The sequence below is a fragment of the Homo sapiens genome, chromosome 1 (genome assembly GCF_000001405.40).
Source record: "Homo sapiens chromosome 1, GRCh38.p14 Primary Assembly".
Lineage (NCBI taxonomy): Eukaryota > Metazoa > Chordata > Mammalia > Primates > Hominidae > Homo > Homo sapiens.
This window is the reverse complement of record NC_000001.11, coordinates 121,099,824-121,119,165: the sequence shown is the minus strand read 5'-3', so window position 1 is coordinate 121,119,165 and position 19,342 is coordinate 121,099,824. Positions and strand designations below refer to the sequence as shown.

Below are 19,342 nucleotides of genomic sequence, written 5' to 3'. Positions count from 1 at the left end.
TAGGTCAGCACACTACCCACATGAAATGGCTTTGGCTGGGTTCCAAGGTCAAGTAAATAAGATCAATTTTTTCATTCCTTCAATTACATATTTTTTTTGCTAAGCTTCGGTCATTCATGGTATACAATGCATCTAACTTGCTGAGCAAAATGCCAGACATGAAATAAATGTTAGCTATGGTAGAAGAGCTACAGTAACAGGTAACCTGAAACAGGCTGATAGCTCATAGAAGGGCATGCTTGAATTCGGGGAAAAAAAAAATCTCTGTTAAAATGGGATGCAAAACACTTTATACATTGCTTTTACAAAAGTTAGACTAATTTAAAGGAAAGTCTTCAAAAGCAATCCGTGATCGATAAAATTACAGAAAAAAATCAGGAAAGGGGGAAATAATAAGGGAAGAAAGATTAGCAGAACAATCTTCCGCCCCAGTAAAGAGGATTGAATTTTAACCAATGAGATCACAAGTTTGAAAATTTCCTTTTCAGGCCCAATCAAGAGGAGGCTATGTCTATAAATATGACTGCCTAGACCCTCTCGTATCAATGAGACAGCATGGCCCGTACTAAGCAGACTGCCCGCAAGTCGACCGGCGGCAAGGCCCCGAGGAAGCAGCTGGCTACCAAAGCGGCCCGCAAGAGCGCGCCGGCCACGGGCGGGGTGAAGAAGCCGCACCGCTACCGGCCGGCACCGTGGCTCTGCGGGAGATCTGGCGCTACCAGAAGTCTACGGAGCTGCTGATCCGCAAGCTGCCCTTCCAGCGGCTGGTACGCGAGATCGCGCAGGACTTTAAGACGGACCTGCGCTTCCAGAGCTCGGCCGTGACGGCGCTGGCGCTGCAGGAGGCCAGCGAGGCCTACCTGGTGGGGCTGTTCGAAGACACGAACCTGTGCGCCATCCATGCCAAGCGCGTGACCATCATGCCCAAGGACATCCAGTTGGTCAGCCGCATCCGCGGGGAGAGGGCCTAAGGTATATTTTTAAGTGGTCGATCTAAAGGCTCTTTTCAGAGCCACTGCCGTTTTCATCAAGAGCAGCTGTACCGGCTCTCCATCTGATGTGCGTCTGCCTTGCGCAGCAGTCAGGGGCCAGGGGCACTCGTGGTGGGTGACGTTACAGAACCCAAAGCCCAGCCGTGAGTTGGCCGGCAGTAGAGAAAGCCGCAGAGGCATGGTCCTTGTGGTTCCGGCCGAGCCTTTTCACGCTGGTTTAAGGCTAGATGTCCGGCTCCCAATTCTGTGGGTAAAGTTTTGCATGGGGGCAAGAGACTATGGGGAGTTTCTAGATGTGGAAGATCCTGAGTGTAAGGGTGGGGCGAGTCCCTTAAAAATTATAAACCCGTTTCCTGGTTTATTTAGGAACTATAAGCTTAATTAAAGCTCAGCATCTTCCTCATTGCATACTACAGGCGGTGTCCAAGCCAGAATAGTAATTTAAGCGGGCGGGAGTAAATATCTGGCGATTTTTAAAAATGTGTGGGTGAGGTAGTATTTCAAGGAAGAGAAAAAAATTTCCACAAAGTATAGAATAAAAATGCAAAAACGAGGCAAGAGAGTTAACTTGTCTAGCTGGCGTTAAGATTTCTTCCGTATGCAAGTCTAATGGAAAGTGAAAACCAAGAAAAAAACCTCAAGCCGTTGAAACTATCGCTTCACCTAGCTTAAAACTGGTTAGTGTGAAATGGAACATTCTGATTGGATAACAAGACTTTTGTTACAGTGACCATTAAGGAAGCAAGACTAGAATCTATTATTTACATAGACTCCACCCCCTCTGACGACACCGTTGTAAGTTAACCAATTAAAGCGCAGCACTTTGCGAGTCTTCATTTGCATACAGGCTCTATAAGTAGCGCATAACCAGCCCGTTTTGCGGTAGTTCGGATTACTTCTTTAAGTGTCTGTTCTCTTTTTTCGCGCAAAAATGCCGGATCCAGCGAAATCCGCTCCTGCTCCCAAGAAGGGCTCCAAAAAGGCTGTTAAAAGAGTGCAGAAGAAGGACGGCGAGAAGCGCAAGCGCAGCCGCAAGGAGAGCTACTCCGTTTACGTGTAGGAGGTGCTGAAGCAGGTCCACCCCGACACCGGCATCTCGTCCAAGGCCATGGGCATCATGAACTCCTTCGTCAACGACATCTTCGAGCGCATCGCGGGAGAGGCGTCCCGCCTGGCGCACTACAACAAGCGCTCCACCATCACATCCCGTGAGATCCAGACGGCCGTGCGCCTGCTGCTGCCCGGCAAGCTGGCCAAGCACGCCGTGTCCGAGGGCACCAAGGCGGTCACCAAGTACACCAGCTCGAAGTAAGAGTGTGCAAGGGACGCAATAGATCAACCACCTAACCCCAAAGGCTCTTTTCAGAGCCACTTCAGTAATTGAGAAAGCAGCTGTAAACACTTGTCAGAGCGTTTGATAGCTTTTGGTCAGGTAGGGAGTGTTACCATGGTCACGGATGCATTCGGGTTTAGGACTAAGGAGTTTCCTGTAGTCCTGTAATGAGTTGGCCCTCAGTCATCCCCGTCTAGTCTTACTGAGTTGCTTGTTATCTGTGCTACGAGATTAGAAAGGTTTGACTCATTCTGGGATATTTGGGAAGGATGGAGGGAAGGAGGCGGGGGGTGGTTCTACACCCCTTCAGCCTTTAACCTGTATCTTTAAAGTCGTTTTCCTTTTTGTTTCTGAAAGTAATGAACGAGATGAGATTTCCCATACAGATGAGAAACCCTCGGTCCAACCTCTTACTATTTCTTAGTGTTTTAATCTGTTTTCCTTACCATATACCTACAGGCGTCTGTCACAAACTTTGTCTAATATAGCCATGTGCTTTCGTCCCTTAGCCTTTTTGCAAGTCCTGACTTAGCCATCCTCCCCTAACTTCCATTCCAGTGACTTCAAACAGGGAGATATATTGCCACCACCCCACCCCCTGTGGAGTATTTGGCAATATCTGTAGATGTTTTGGGTTGTCAGGTGTGTGTGTGTTGGGGGGGAGGTGCTAGAAGTATCCAATGGGCAGAGGCCAGGAGTGCTAAGCATAAGGCACAGGACAGTCCTCTGGGGGGACAAAGAGCTACCTGGCCTGTAATGTCTATCTTTGGTGATTGAGAGACCCCAGCGCCCAAAGACATCCCTAACCTTCAGGATTTAATCCTCTTCAGTCAAACTTTTCCTTAACCCTATCAGCCCATGTTTTTCTTGGTGAAAGCTGAGCACTTCATAGGCTGTTTACAGGTCCTTCTCCACAGGAAAATACTTCCTCCAGGACAAGAACCCTGTCTTGGTTCCAAACTTTCCCAATTATAAGAGTCACCTTTGCGCTTGTTTTTTTTTTTTTTTTTTTTTTTTTTTTTTTTGAGACGGAGTCTCGCTCTGTCGCCCAGGCCGGAGTGCAGTGGCGGGATCTCGGCTCACTGCAAGCTCCGCCTCCCGGGTTCACGCCATTCTCCTGCCTCAGCCTCCCAAGTAGCTGGGACTACAGGCGTCCGCCACTACGCCCGGCTAATTTTTTGTATTTTTAGTAGAGACGGGGTTTCACCGTTTTAGCCGGGATGGTCTCGATCTCCTGACCTCGTGATCCGCCCGCCTCGGCCTCCCAAAGTGCTGGGATTACAGGCGTGAGCCACCGCGCCCGGCCTTGCGCTTGTTAAACCTGCTTCCAGGTGCTTCTCTTGAGGTTTCCTGATTCAGCGAGACTGGAGGTGGGACCTGACGAAGTGGTTGGTTTTTAGTGTTCTCAGGAGTGTGGATGTTTTAATAGGTGTTGGGTCCTCATGTTAATCGACCTGTGGGTGTGTCACAGTCTTTGTGTCACAGATGTTCTGAGAAAGGAAACAATTTGAGGATGAGTGGAGGGGAATTTGTGGTGTAGAGAAGGCCACAGTTAATATGTGGGGTGAATTTCTGAAGACCTCTAAGTTCAAAACTTGAATAACTCAAGACTCATCCTGACAAAAGCCAGTGGATGTTTCTTTTGCCAAATAAAATATACCCTTGGTGCAACTGGAAAATCTTAGCTTATAATTAACTTGACAGCCTTTGAAATTAAGCCATTCTTGATAAATCTTGGGGGAATTAACAACTTTGTGCTTAAAATGAATTTTACTAATTTTTATGATGTTGAAGTTCAAATTTACACCCAATTAAAAGATATAAAATGCGGTATACATGATTATTTTTCCACTAGAAAATAAAGATTCCCAGTTTAGTCATCTTTTTCTGATCACCAGACAAGAGGTCAGGGAAAGATAACTGAGAATCCAAAATTTCCGTTGAAAGTAAAGAAATCATATATAGCACATTCTCTGGTAGGAAAGGTTACTCAGTAAGTGAGACGGCCGAGGTGGTCTATTTTCTATACAGTTGGGCCATAAGAGAATTTATCCAATCTCCTCCTAGCTTAGGGTCCTGAAGTCAGGAGTTCCTTTTTTCTTAAGGATTAGGGACCATGTTTTTCAGGGCCTTTTGAAGTTGTTAAAGCATTGTCAACTGGCTCAACTACACAAATGCCATCATTTATTACCCACTGACCAAAAGATTAACTTCCAAATCCTCATCCTGACACTAAAGGCCACCTATTATCTAGCCAAAACTTACCTTCTTCACTTGTTCTCCCCAGTCCTCCAGCTTAGCCTAAATGTTCTACTGTCATGTAAAGCATCTTAACTTTGTCTTCTGTGCTTTTGTTACATTGTTCTGAGTTTTAGTACTCAGTCCTCTGGACTACTTGAAGCTTTTTATCAGTCTGTCAGTTCTTTTAAACTCTTGCTCAAATCTCACTCTGAGAAGCTTTTTCATCTCATTGTAGTTCACAGGGAAGTCTTTCTCTTAAGGCCTCATTCCTTGCATAACGAATAATTGTGTAGCTTTGTAAACTGTAGGCTTATTCCTCAATTTCTTTTTCTTGTTTTTACATTTTCTTGTCTGTCTTCTGCTAGAGACATGCTTCTCGGTATTTATTCCACAAAGGCTATCCCAATGCCTACTATAAAATAGCTTCTCAATGAAAGTTTGTTGACTAGTTGCCAGTCAACAGAACACTAGAAAATTGATCTGAGAGTGGTGGGTTCTAGTAAATACTCTAGTAAATATTTTTCTCTACTTTTTTTCTAACTTTTTTTCTTACTCCTTTACTATGGATACTCTTTTTAATTATTGCCCTTCATAATTATTGGCCCAGTTGAAACAACTGTTATAGATTCAAAAATCCTCAGAGTGGTAAAGTACTACACTTGGTATCTTCCCTTGAGCCAATGTATCTATGTAGCTAAAATGATGAGATTAGAGTGGAGCTTTCTCACCCTGGTTTGAGGTGCTGCAGAAATGGTCTGCTTTTCTAGTGCCTTGAAAAAGGATGAGAAGAGAGGTGCATTCCAGAAGACAAAAGGTGTGTAGTATCAGGATAAGGGGCTTTAAATATCAGATCCAGAGAACACTGCACATGTAGAAATGGGCTTGGCCTGGGTCAGGGCATTGAGATTGGTTACATAATCTTTTCAAGGATTGGTGAATGAGTTGGAGTATGTGTAGAAACCTACAAAGATGACAGTTTAATCTCATGTCATAATTTTTAGACAAATAATGTATTTTAAAACTGGGTGCAGTTCCTAAAGCTGTTCTAAAAGTCAATGCAACTGAATTTGGAATGTAAGCATAGGACAACAGATGGGAAATAAGTACATGACCTCTGTGGGATAAAGTGAGAGTTATCAAAGAATGTCAGTGTTTATAACAAGGAACAAGCTTGTTTTGGAGAATTACTAGATATTATGGAAAATTTTTTTCTTTTCTACATTTGGTTAACTATAGCTGAACTATAGCAGATCATATGACTTGGCAAAAATAGAAAACTTGATAAAAATCTTCTAGGCCCCACAATGTCAACATGAACAAACTTCTGAAAAGTAAAAGTAGACCGTGTTTTCTCAGTATGTGTTATCAAATATATGTTGAACATATAATTTTTGCCCCTCAGCCAGGTTGTAATATTTTCCTTTAGTTTATCTCTTTAATAATTTTTTGTTAATCCATTTTATTTTGAAAAAATAATGAGCTAGAGGATACAAAGATGTAAATGAATCTAAAAGAGAGAATTAAACTGGCATAAAGATAAATATAATTCAAGCAAGATATGTTATTCCCAAAAGAAGAGAAAGAAGGAAATGTTATGTGAATGGAGAGTGAAAGGTTGCCTCTGGTTGGAGAGTTCAGGAAAATTCTGTGAGAACTTACATGGTGCCAGCTACTGTGCTAAGTGATGGAGAAACAAAGGTATCCATTCCTCAAGTCCATAAGATTCAACTGGAGTTTTCTGTGTGACGAGTATATCATGTATCCTCTGAAATTATTTTTTAAGTTTTAGTTTTACCCAATTTTTACTGTAACCTCTTTCGACTTTTTAATTGTCTGATTTGGGTAGATGGAATTCTCATTCCATTTTTATTCTGTGATTAGAGGTTATTAATTCCTCACCCCTCATCCAGGTTGTAACATTTCCATTTACTTTAAAATATTGCTTAAGAAAATTTGTATTTTACTTCAATTGAGATTTTATTTTTTAATATTATTATATTGAACAGCTTTGGCTATCCCACCCTCCTACCTGCAGAGTGCAAAACAATTTATGCACATCACACTCAGTTTACAGCATCAGAACACTCTTGGAGCATTGTTCACCATGGTCCTAGCTTGATTTTCTTGGGGTGTGATTATTCTTTCTTTTCTCTCTTTCTCTCTCTCTCTTTCTTTCTTTTTCTTTCTTTCGAGATGGAGTCTTGCTCTGTCACCTAGGCTGGAGTGCAGTGGCACAATCTCGGCTCACTGCATCCTTTGCCTCTCGGGTTCAAGCGATTCTCCTGCCTCAGCCCCCCGAGTAGCTGGGATTACAGATGCCAGCCATCATGCCCAGCTAATTTTGTATTTTTGTAGAAATGGGGTTTCACCGTGTTGGCCAGGCTGGTCTCGAACTCCCAACCTCAGGTGATCTGCCTGCCTTGGCCTCCCAAAGTGCTGGGATTACAGGTGTGAAACACCACACCCGCCCCCCGCCATGCCTTTTTCTTTTCCCAGACAGGGTCTTGCTCTGTCACCCAGTCTGGAGTGCAGTGGCATGATTACAGTTCATTGCAGCCTTGACCTCCCAGGCTCAAGTGATCATCCCACCTCAGCCTCCTGAGTAGCTGGGACTACAGGTGCATGCCACATGCTTGGCTAATTTTTAGAGTTTTTTCTTTTTGTAGAGATGGGGTCTCACTATGTTGCTCAGGTTGGTCTTGAACTCCTGGATTCAAGTGATCCACCTGCCTTGGCTTCCCAAAGTGCTGGGATTATAGACTGGTGTGACTATTAGAGTGGTGAGTGAATAAGCTTTTTCTTATTTTCCAAATGCAATTTATCAGAAAATCCTCTTGGCTCAAAATATGTCCAGCATCCAACCACATCTCACCACCTCCACCACTGTTTCCCTGCTCCAAGCTTCCACCTCTCTTGGATATTTGCAATGGCATTTTAAATGGCCTCCTTGATTCTGCTCTCTCCCTCCTATATTTCCCACAAAGCAGCTAGAGTACACTTTTTGAAACATAAGTCAGATCATATCATTCCCATACTCCTCCTCAACAGAAAACCCTCCAATGGCTTCAGCATCAAGGCCCACATTCACTTCTCTGACCCTCTCTCTTACCTGTTTTGCTCCATTTCATCATAATTTTCTCCTTGTGCTTCCTTGAATACATCAAGGCCCTTCTATCTCAGGATGTTTGCACTTGCTATTTCCTTTTCTTAAAGGCTCATCCCTAGATATTTGCATGACTGGCTTCCTAATTTCTTGTAAGCTTTTGCTGAGAAGTTACTTTACCAACTGTCATTGAGGTCTTCCCTGAACATCTTAGGTAAGATAACAAGCTCCCCTCCTTTTCTTTCCTCACTTCTTGGTATTCCTTATCTCGTAACTTTTTTTTTTTTGGGGGATGGAGTCTCGCGTCTCGCTCTGTTGTCCAGGCTGGAGTGCAGTGGTGCAATCTCGGCTCACTGCAACCTCCACCTCCTGGGTTCAAGCGATTCTCCTGCCTCAGCCTCCCGAGTAGCTGGGACTACAGGCAAGTGCCACCACACCCAGCTAATTTTTTGTATTTTTAGTAGAGGTGGGGTTTCACTGTGTTAGGATGGTCTCGATCTCCTGACCTTTTGGTCCACCCACCTCGGCCTCCCAAAGTGCTGGGATTATAGGTGTGAGCCAGTGCGCCCGGCCTCTCATAATTTTCTTAATTTTTCTCCATATACCATCTGAATACTAATGTATTTATTTATTTGTTTATTTCTGAATGAGACTGATATCCATAAAAATGATCTTTCCTTGTATACTCTAACTCCCTGCTTTCTGGGCGCTTGGCTTCTCAATTAAAGGCTAATTTACCAGCTTCTCTTGCATCTGGGTTTGTCCAAAGTTTGGGGCCAATGAGATGTGAATGGAAGTTGCATGTATTATTTCTAGTTTGTGCCCTAAAAAAGAATATGTATGTGTTACCCTTGCCCTCTTATCCTCTCCACTGGCTGGGGTGCAGATGTGATGGCAGGAATTGGGGCAACTACTTTGGACCCAGAGGCAGAAGCCCTGTGATGAGGATGGCAGAACTGCTCTATTAGCCCTGGACTGTTACATGAAAGATAAATAAACTTGTATCTTATTCAAGCCACTGTTTTTAAAGACTTATTTGTTGTATTACTCAGATATAGTCTAAGTTATTATATCATTTGTCTCCCCTCCTACCTCCTCAGAATAAGTCCTATGAAGGTAGGTGCTTTGTTTCATACACTGCTCTATCCCTATTATGTAGAACTATATCTGGAATACATTAGGCACTCAATATCTATGGGATGAATGATGGATTCGAGAAACAGAAGTAATTGAGTACATGGGAAATGGGATTGTGTTTATGACAGGTGGAGCTCCAAGAGTTGAATTTAACAAGAAATGATTGAGTTTGAAATATTTTGCCCTCTAAATTAGGGACAGCACAACACAGAATGAGGATTTGGGTGAAGTTGCAACCACCGAGTTCCACATACCAGTTTAGAAGCCTCAGAGTATAAGTCATTGGGTATTTAAGGACCTTACCTAAGCTAACTCAGAAGCATTATGAAGGGCAGTATTGACATTAACTGCCAGGAATCTCCTAAAAGAGTCAAGGGATTATACATGAGTCATAGAAGGATACTTGAAGATGGACAATTATAGTCCCATCACTTTATGGAAGACTATGAGACCCAAATAAGAGAAATCCCAGTGGTCCACGAACTTAGCTCTGGTAAGTCCCCAATAATTATTTAAATTATTTCAGGTTCAATATCACTGATTGCTGTCACCATTTTCAAGGCTAATATCTAATCTGCTTTGGTTCTGCTAAGATCTCCCTGTTTTTTTGTCGTTGTTTTTTTCCTCTAGAAAAAACAGAAAAGAGAACTATCTCCAGATGGATACAGAAGAGGTGGTAAAAAGAATACACATAACGTGGCTCTCACATGATCACATATCACGCTGAAGGCTCTCAGAGGCAACTGAGGTTGGAGATCATTTTTAGGGTCTTAAGTTCAGAGCTGTATCTGTAATATCAACAACAGATATTCTGGCTCTTACCAACTTGCCCATTTCTCCTCTTAGCACTGTAAGAGTAGTTCTTGCTGAGAAGGCACTAGCCTGTAGTGGCGATGAACATCAGCTTTGAGTATAGCTTCCCCATGTAAGGACTGTATGACCTTGGAAAACTTTCTTTACTTGTTGTGATAAATAAACTTCCTTACAGCAAATTGATCCTCAAGTTATTCCCCTGTAAAGTGGAAAAAATAATGGAAACTACCTTCTAGGCTTGATATGAAGATTAAATGAGGTAATGTACCCAAAGCACTTAGTACAGTGGCTGGAACATGGTAAATATTTGATCAGTGTTCTTATTATTGTTATGGTTAGGAAGGCGCTAGCAAGAACACCATTGTACTTCCAGAGCACATTCCATTTTCCAGCAAGTGGTGCTTTAATAGATTTCTAGTGACTTGAGAGTGACTTCCCTAAGCATCTTGCATTAAGGAAATAAGACCTTCTGTATTCTAAAAACACCATCCAATAAGGGATTTTCACAATTTACTTGTAGGACCTTTGTTACGTAGAACCTTCAGTGTCTGCTATGTGGCCCATTAGGAAAATAATAAATTAGGAAACAAAAGACTTTATAGTGTCTGTTACTAGTGCTCTATAAAGGCCGATATAACATTTGGCAAGTACCTTCTTTTTCTATCAGATGATGCTTTTAATACTTCATGTCAATACTTTCAGAAAAAAGTGAAATCATTTCATTAAACACTTCTTTCCTATTTCTGATTTTTGAGTTGAAAGCTCTTAATTTTGAGGATTTAACATAAGAAAAAGTCAAGGGAATAGAAATTATCTAGAAAACTATTAGCTAGCATAGAGAAAAACAAGACTTACAGCCAAAAGAAGAATGTGCAAATAATTTGGGAAATGTTTAAATAGAAATTTAAAAATGGGGTTGGTGGAGTCATGTTGATGATTTTGGAGTTAATCATTTCTGCTTATTAAATTGTTTCCAGCATTTTCTAGCTGAAGTTACTGTTGTTGTCAACTACTCAGCATCCAAAATTTTCACAAGAAAACAAGGTTTTTTCTCTTCAAATTACAGTCCAAAGAGTGGCAAACAAGAAAGATGACAGAGTCCGAAGACCTTAAGATTTCTTTTCTTTGGTCAAGAACTCATTACACAATGGATGATACATCTTAGGTGGTCCTACTAAAAAGAGACACAAGAATCTAGAGACTATCTCACTGTCAACCAATCCAAGGAACTTTGCTTTAGATGGCCAAAGCCAGAAACAGCAAAGTAGAAGAACTACTAGAGCTTTAAGCAGTTCCTTAGTATTTTTCCTTGGCTTATCCAAGCCTGGATACTGGTCCACTTTCCCAAAGTTGGTAAAGAGGTAATACAGCTTGGGATTGATTGGATATTGAGACAGAAAGAGAGGGGGAGAGAGAGATATCTAGGTACTGGAGCAGCACTAGGCACTCAGAAGAAGGAACACTTGGAGCAAAAAATGAAGGATATAGATTAGTGAAGTGAAGTCAGGAGCAAATGATCTCAGTTGCTTTACATGATCAAAGGACAATAACTGCAAATTGCCAGAGGGTAGGTGAAGCTCCATATCACTTTTTAATATTAGTGTTTTAAACACCTAGGAATAGAATATACCTAAAGATAATAGCTTGATTTCCCCACACCCACCTTTGCAATGTTTTGATTTTGCACAAGTCTTGGTTTCTAGTTTGTGGGATTATCATTTTTCATTGCATTGAAGGAAAATTCTTTAGGCCAGGAGGGAGTCTAAGACTTCAGACACAGCACAGATACGATCCTGGGCAAGGGTCATTCAGTGTTCTTAAGAAAATTCTAAATCCTAAGGTGTGATGGTTAATATTAGGTGTCAACTTGATAGGATTAAAGGATGCCTAGATAGCTAAGTATTGTTTCTGGGTGTGTCTGTGAGGGTGTTGCCAGAGGAGATTAACATTTGAGTCAGTGGACCAGGAGAGGAAGACTCACCCTCAATGTGGGTTGGCACCATCCAGTCGGCTGCCAGGGTAGCTACAACAAAGCAGGAGAGAGAAGGTGGGCTAAGCTGGCTTGCAGAGTTCTGGCTTTCATCCCTCTCCTGTGCTGGATGCCTCCATCCATTCCTCCTGCCTTTGGACATCAGACTCCAGGTTGTTTGGCCTTTGGACTCTTGGACTTAACACCAGTGGCTTGCCTGGGGCTTTTGGGCCTTAGGCCACAGACTGAAGGCTGCACTATGGGCTTCCCTACTCTTGAGGCTTTTGGACTCAGACTGAACCACTACTGGCTTCTTTCTTCCTCAGCTTGCAGACGGCCCACCGTAGGACATTGCCTTGTAATCATGTGAGCCAATTCTCCTTAATAAACTCCTTTTAATATATCTATATCTAATCTATTATCATCTATCTATATCTATAGATATATGTCTCCCCTATTAGTTTTGTCCCTCTGGAGAACTCTGACTAATACAAAGGGTTAAGTCTTAAACTACTTATAATTTCTCTCTGGAACTGTATTTCATCTAGTTTGGAATGTTTACTTACTTAAGACCCATATTATATGTAGAATAATGAGCAGGAGAAAGGTATGCTGATTAACTTGTATATATATTAGCCATAGGATTAGTTCCAGCAAAGGAACATACTTGCTTTTTTTGGTTTCTTCAATCTTCTCCCTGTTACATTATGAAAATTTGATGATTTTACTTATTTAAGTGTCTTTGTAGGAGATTTTTCGTGGATCTTTTTAAGTGTTTGACCTCTGATTTTCATAATTTTTTTCACATTAGTATCAAGGTATTAGGTAATGGAAATTATTCTTAAATAACTCCCGCCTGCCCCCCTGAAACAGCAAGCATCTATAGAGAAGAAGACAGTTTTCAGATTAGCAGGAGAGTTAACCAAGTAAAACTTGAATTTTGATCCTTAGCCTGGAGAAAAAGGTAAGAAACTTTTTCATTTGTCTAAGAGAAGTTTATTTCATGGTGTTTATGATTGTGGAGATGTGTTTGTGGGGGAAAGTGGCATATTAAATTTTTCTAGACTAGTATGTGCAAATAATTTATAGTGGGGAGGGGGGAATTTGAGTCTCAAAGATAAAAGCATAGTGAAACAGAACTGTGACTGTTCTTCCTGGCATGAGGAAATAACATATGAATTACAAGCATGCTTGAGTAATGTAGATTGAGTTGATGGGTAGAAATGTGGCCCCTTACAGCACAGAGATGACAAAGTAAATACATTTGGCCCTCCTGGCAGGGTAGAAGTATAATGTGTTCCCAAAATCACCCGGATATGCCATCGTATAGTGTATTAGTAAAGAGTTCAGGCTACTGAGACGGACCACCTGGAGTGTAACTTGGCTCTGCTCTTTAGGATGTTTTTAATCTGTGTTTTCTCATCTTAAAACTGGGACTATAGTAATGCTTACTTCATAATGTTTTTATGAAGGATAATTGCTTAATGTTTCCTACTAATAAACAATTCAATAAATACTAGTTGGTGATTGTAGGGAAGTCCTGTTAAGTGCTCTGCAAGTTTCCCATCTCTAATGCACAGGTGAAAAATAGCTACTGATTCAAGATTGTGTCCTGAAGATATGTTGCTTTCTTCTCATATTCCACCCCAAATTCCTAGAAATGATAAAAAATTGACAAAGATGGCAGATGGAGTAACAGTGAAGAGTGCCAAGGAGGACTTCTGCAGAAGACAGGAGTGGACCAAAAAATGATCCACATGTTTTGGAACCAGGAGACAAAAGTTGGTCTTGGGGCAACTGATAGGATGACAGTTCAGGTACCACAGTAGGAATATCCACCCATCTCCTTACCTTGGTGACTGAAGTCTTTTTATTTATTTTCTAGAGACCGGGTCTCACTCTATTACCCATGCTGGAGTGCAGTGGCACAATCTCAACTCACTGCAGCCCCAACCTCCTGGGCTCAAGCTCTCCTCCCACCTCAGCCTCCCCAGTAGTCGGGACCACAGGCATGTACCACCACAACCAGCTAATTTTTGTATTTTTTGTAGAGATGGGGTTTCACCATTTTGCCCAGGCTAGTCTCAAACTCCTGGGCTCAAGGGATCCACCGACCTTGGCCTCCCAAAGTGCTGGGTTTACAGGTGTGAACCACCATGTCTGGCTGGTGACTGACATCTTTGACCCCAGCAGTGAGTGTGGTCATTTGGTTCAAGGAGGCAGGAAAATGTGCCAAGTAACTGGGCGCTCCCACATCTTGGAAATTTAAAATTTGATTATTGACATAAAAATTCAACAAGGGATAAATCCAGAACAGGATAGATAAAGCCAAGAGAAAATAAATAAGCTGAAAGATTGTGCTATTATGAAATATATATTTGGTCTTCAACCCCATTTCCTGACATACAACTCCTAAAATCCTTAGAAACACCAAAGTGTGATGTCGTTTTGCTTATTAATGAGTTGACTGATGTCTGGCAGCCCCTAGGTAGCTTCAGGATGGGGGCTGGTGACCAGAAAGAACAAGGGGAGGATTAGAGAGTTGGGACTTTCAGCCCACCTCCAACTTCCGGGGAGGGGAGAGGGGCTGAAGGTTAAGCCGATCACCAATGGCCAATGGTTTAATCAGTGATTCCTTTGCAATGGAGCCTCCATAACGACCCAAAAGGACAGGGCTTGGAGAGCTTCTTGATAGCTGAACATGTAGAGGTTCCTGAAGGGTGGCGCACCCAGTGGAGGTGCATGGAAGCTCCATGCTCCTTCCCCCATACTTTGCCTTATGCATCTTTTCATCTGTATTTTTTGTTATAAACCAGTAAACCCAAGTGTTTCTCTGAGTTTCATGAACTGCTCTAGCAAATTAATACAATGCAAAGGAGGAAGCCATGGGAACCCCAGCTTGGAAATGGTTGGTCAGAAGTTCTGGAGGCCCAGACTTGGAACTGGCATTTGAAGTGGGGGCAGTCTGGTAGACTCAGTCCTCAACCTGTGGGATCTCCTGATAAATAGTGTAAAAATTGAATTGGAGTACACTCAGCTGGTGTCCACTGCAGAACTGATTGCTTGCTTGCTGTGTGGAGAACCCCCCTCCGCCGTCAGTCTTCTGTGTTGATTGTTGTAGTGTGAAAGCACAGGAAACACATAGTTTGAGTTTCTCCCGCCTCATCGTGATCAAGATAAGCCAGAAATTCCTCCACAAAGCCATATAAAAAGATGCATGCAGAGATGAAAGAAAAGTTAAATGATATGAAAAATAGATCCAGATGTTCCAAACTCATGTAACAGGATGAGGAGTTAGAGAGGAGGGGAGAATTGAGAACAAGTAAGAAATAAAATACAGATCTACCAAATAAGATTTGCTGATTGTGCACTGCACAATTTCAGGGGCTGTCATTTGAATAGTAAGATTTGCCAATGTGTAGTGTACAACCTACTATTGTGTAGTATGCAACCATAGTCATGAGAAAATAAAGGAATAAAAGGAGGATATTTCACAGGATCTAAATGCATACATACATCCTTAGATTGCAAGGTCCTATTAAATTCTGAGCATACAGGATGAGAAGGACCCTCACCTAGATTCACAGTGACAAAATTTGGGAACAAGGAGAAATTTCTAAACATATTCAGGGAAAATGCTTATGAAGAAATGGAAGTCAAATTTACATCCAACTCATTTGGGCTCCACTGGATATAAGAAGACACGAAGCATTATTTTTTAAAATCTAGGGAAAATAATTTTGAATTCAATTAAACTATCATTTAAGTGTGGGTGACTTTTCAGAATTCTATTCCAGCAATAATTTTAAAAAGATCATAAGGGAAGATGTGAGATAATGGAAGCAAAGGTGGTCATGTATTTGGTAAAAGATATTGCTAAACAAAGTGAAATTAGATTCTAGAAAATTAAAAAGAAAACCTGGAATTCAAATTCCAGGTGATGTAGAAGGGTGGTAGGGAAAGCAAGAGTGAAGAGAAGTAAAACAAGCTAAGTAAGATTTATGTTATAAATAAATAGGATATAGATATTACTGTAGAAGTTAGAAAAATGTGGGCTTACATGGTGGGTCACACATGTAATCCTGGCACTTTGGGAAGCTGAGGCAGGAGGATCACTTGAAGCCAAGAGTTCAAGATCAGCCTGGGCAACAAAGCAAGACCCTTGTCTCTACAAAAAGTAAAAATATTAGCCAGGCATGGTTACATGCACCTGTAGTCCCAGCTACTTAGGAGGCTGAAGCAGGAGGATTGCTTGAGCCTAGGAGGTCGAGGCTGCAGTGAGCTATGATTGCACCTTTGCACTCTGGCCTGGTGACAGAGCAAGTTCCTCTTTTTTTTTTTTTAAAGTCGGTTTAAAAATACATTTATATATGGCACTAGAAGGGTATATCATATTCATAAAAGTAGTGCTCCATTAAGGAATGACCATGAATTGTTTGCATTTAACAAGGATACATACACATATGTGCATATAAGTCAACAATCACAGTGATAAGTTTAATATACCTTTCTTAGGAATTGACAGATCTAGTTGACTGAAACTTATTGAGGATATGGAGAATTTGAAGAACACGGTTAATAAGATTAATCATAACTATAATTATGCCTATACCATCTTATATTCAAAATAGGAAAGTTACATTATTTTCAAATTCACATAGAATATTGACAAAAATTGGCCATAAGTGAGATGGCAAATTAAGTCTCAACAAGTGCTGAAAAGCTGAAACCATATAGGACCAGGGCATAGTTAACTGATTATAAAACAATAAAATAATCAAACATGCCCTCCTTAAGTTGTACTCTTAGGAAAAAGCACATGGGTTAAAGGGGATATCAGAATAAAAATTATACACTCTTTAGAAATAACAAGAGCACTATAATTCAGCCATACCCTGAGACTTCACAAGCTTTGGTCCCAGTAAGCTAGAATTCAAATCTTAGCCCTATATTTAAATAACTCCTTGAATTGCCATTTCTTATCCCAATTATCTGTCATTCCACTGTGAAATATATTTCATGGCAAATAATATTAAAACCTACATGAATCAGTCAGGAGAAAATTTGTAGCTTTAAAATGCATTTAAGAGAAAATAATTGGTAGGCAGATCGCCTTGGCCTCCCAATTATTGCCTCTGGAATTGGAGACCAGCCTGGACAACATGGCAGGACCCTGTGTCTCCAACAAATACAAAAATTAGCTGGATGTCGTGGTGCACGCCTATAGTTCCAGCTGCTAGGGAGGCCGAGGCAGGAGGATCGTTGAGCCTGGGAGGTGGAGGGTTACAGTGAGTTGAGATCATGCCACTGCACTCCAGCCTGAGCAACAGAGAGAGAATTAAGCTTTTAACTCCAACGCTAACAAAGGAACACAACAAAAACCTGTGGAAAGTAGAAGGCATAAAGTAAGATGAAAGCATAGTCAATGAAACAGATCATACCTTCCTATTCCACCAAAATGGAATTTATAAAACCAAACACTGTGTTCCCTGAAAAGAAAATTAAGAGTTAATCCTTCCGTAAACTTACTATTGAAAAAGCACATAAGTAATACTAGATATAGTAGATATTAAAATGATGTGTATTTTTGATATATATTTGCAAATGTAGACAAAATGTTGACTTTTCCATACAAATTACCAAAGTTGAGCTAAGAAAAGTAAAATACCTGACTAAAGAATTAACTATAAGAGAAACAGAAAAAAAAATCAGATATACATATCCTTAAAAATAGCACCAAGGCCGGGTGCGGCAGCTCATGCCTGTAATCCCAGCACTTTGGGAGGGCGAGGTGGGTGAATTATTTGAAGTCAAGAGTTTGAGACCAGCCTAGCCAAGATGGTGAAACCTTGTCTCTACTAAAAATACAAAAATTAGCCGGGTGTGGTGGCGTGTGCCTATAATTCCAGCTACTTGGGAGGCTGAGGCAGGAGAATCACTTGAACCTGGGAGGTGGAGGTTGCAGTTAGCTGAGATCATGCCACCGCACTCCAGCCTGGGTGACACAACGAAACTCTGTCTCAAAAAACAAACAAAAGCAAGCCCAGACAGCTTTACCAAACACTGAGGAGAGAATATATTATACAAATTGATCAAAATAATAGAATAGTATTAAAAGCCACTGAGTGTGAGGCAATGACAACAGATATTATGAAGGCTAAATGAAATAACCCATGAAAGGTAAATAAGCATTTGTTAAATTAAAATAATAAAGTTGACTATTAAGTGCCATGATATAGATTTCACAGTGGAATGAAAGGATAAAATAATTGGAATAAGAAATTGCAATTCAAGGAGCTATTTAAGTGCAGGACCAAGATTTTAATTCAGCCATATCCTGAAATTTTACAATTTTTGGTCACAATAAACTAGAATTCCAGGTAGAAAATGATTATTTTCTAAAATAAAGATGGTACTTATAAACCTATATAAATGCTCATTTCTCCTCTTCGAAGTATTTTTCTGCCCTTCCAGAAGAACTGGGCCTTGAAGTCACAGCCAGGCTCCAGAGGACTGCTGTTTCACTGGATATCACGCCATTGCTTCTTCAAAATTATCTTCTCAGAGAATACCATATTTGGGGAATTTAATTTACTTCTCGAGAATCCCTAACCCAATTATTTCTAGTCTTCCTTAGAGATTTTCTTTCTCCATTAACTCCCATATTATGTCTGGGAATCTTTTACTTTCACATATGCTCCCTCTCCACAATTTATTCTTTTTTTATCTTCTTTAAGTGTTAAGGAGTAGTATACATGTGTGATAGGGAGATGAAGGGGAAAGGCAGAAAACTGAACTTCTTACCCTCATGGAAGTTTTAACCCCACATTTAGAAAAAACAAGAAGTGGAGAATAAAGGGAGAAGGACAGCAAGCAATTTTATTCGTTCCCATTTTCCTGCCAATGTGCATTAACAAAGAAGTCTGTACCTAAAAGACCTTATGCAAGACCAGATTTTCACATTACTAGCTTTGTGTGTGTGTGACATCCTGCTTTCCGTTGCCAAGCTTAATGTATATGTGTCTTAGGGTCTTTCAGTTTTTATACTATTATGGCTATGTTGTGGTAAACTGAGGAAAGGAGAGGCCAATATGGAAAAACAGGAGGATTGTTGTTTATTTTAGGTACGCACGGCTCAGCAGGTTTGCATCTAAAAAGCTGAGCACTGAACAAAGACAGAGTGGGGTTTTTATAAGCGGCCTTACAGACACAAAACAAAAGCAGTTAATCATACAGTGACAGGTCACATAATCTATAGCATAACATAACTTGTGACCTTGCATAGCTGGTGACCTTGTAGTTGCATCGAAAGAAAAACAAAAACTGGCTAAATACAGACATTTGTAAATAATGCTTAAGAGGCCTGGGGAAAGAGTAACAGTAAAAGAATCTTTCTCTTTTTCTTCCTTCAACCTTGCTCTGGAAGGGAGGGGTGTCTGGAGCCTATTCCTTTGACCTTGGCTATTTGGACAGCGTTATCTTATAACTGTCCTTGAAGTAAGCTTGCTAGGCAGAGGAAAACTTGTTTTCTTCTTTTTAACCCTTGTCTTGCCACATTCTGGGCCTTAGCTTTTACTTTTCTTGGAGTGAATAAATGCAGTACTTATTATTTATTTGTTTTAAATTTCTGCCTCAGCTGTGAGACTGGTAATAATCATTTATTTATTTATTTATTTACTTATTTATTTTTGAGACAGGGTTTCCCTCTGCCACCCAGGCTGAAGTGCAGTGGTGCGACCTTGGCTTACTGCAGC

General features: G+C 40.9%; 2 pseudogenes across 6 annotated transcripts in view; both read left to right on the top strand.

The window, feature by feature from the left end:
• Nucleotides 1-539: 539 nt before the first annotated feature.
• Nucleotides 540-19,342, top strand: part of H3P4 (H3 histone pseudogene 4) — a 58,864-nt pseudogene continuing 40,061 nt past the window's right edge. The window contains exons 1-3 of one of the 3 annotated variants that reach the window (NR_160940.1): nucleotides 540-972; nucleotides 1,937-2,300; nucleotides 10,597-11,991. The product of NR_160940.1 is annotated as a H3 histone pseudogene 4, transcript variant 1 (transcript). Of the gene's footprint in view, nucleotides 1,612-1,936; nucleotides 2,301-10,596; nucleotides 11,992-19,342 lie in introns of those variants that run through there. The other 2 variants (NR_160941.1, NR_160943.1) reach the window with 2 other exon arrangements.
• On the top strand, nucleotides 1,874-11,991 carry H2BP1 (H2B histone pseudogene 1; annotated as a pseudogene). Of its 3 annotated transcripts, NR_160942.1 has the most exons (3): nucleotides 1,874-2,300; nucleotides 9,002-9,299; nucleotides 10,597-11,991. The product of NR_160942.1 is annotated as a H2B histone pseudogene 1, transcript variant 2 (transcript). The 3 variants fall into 3 exon arrangements; NR_027337.2 differs by lacking the exon at nucleotides 9,002-9,299; NR_160944.2 differs by lacking the exons at nucleotides 9,002-9,299; nucleotides 10,597-11,991 and having other exon boundaries at nucleotides 1,874-2,368.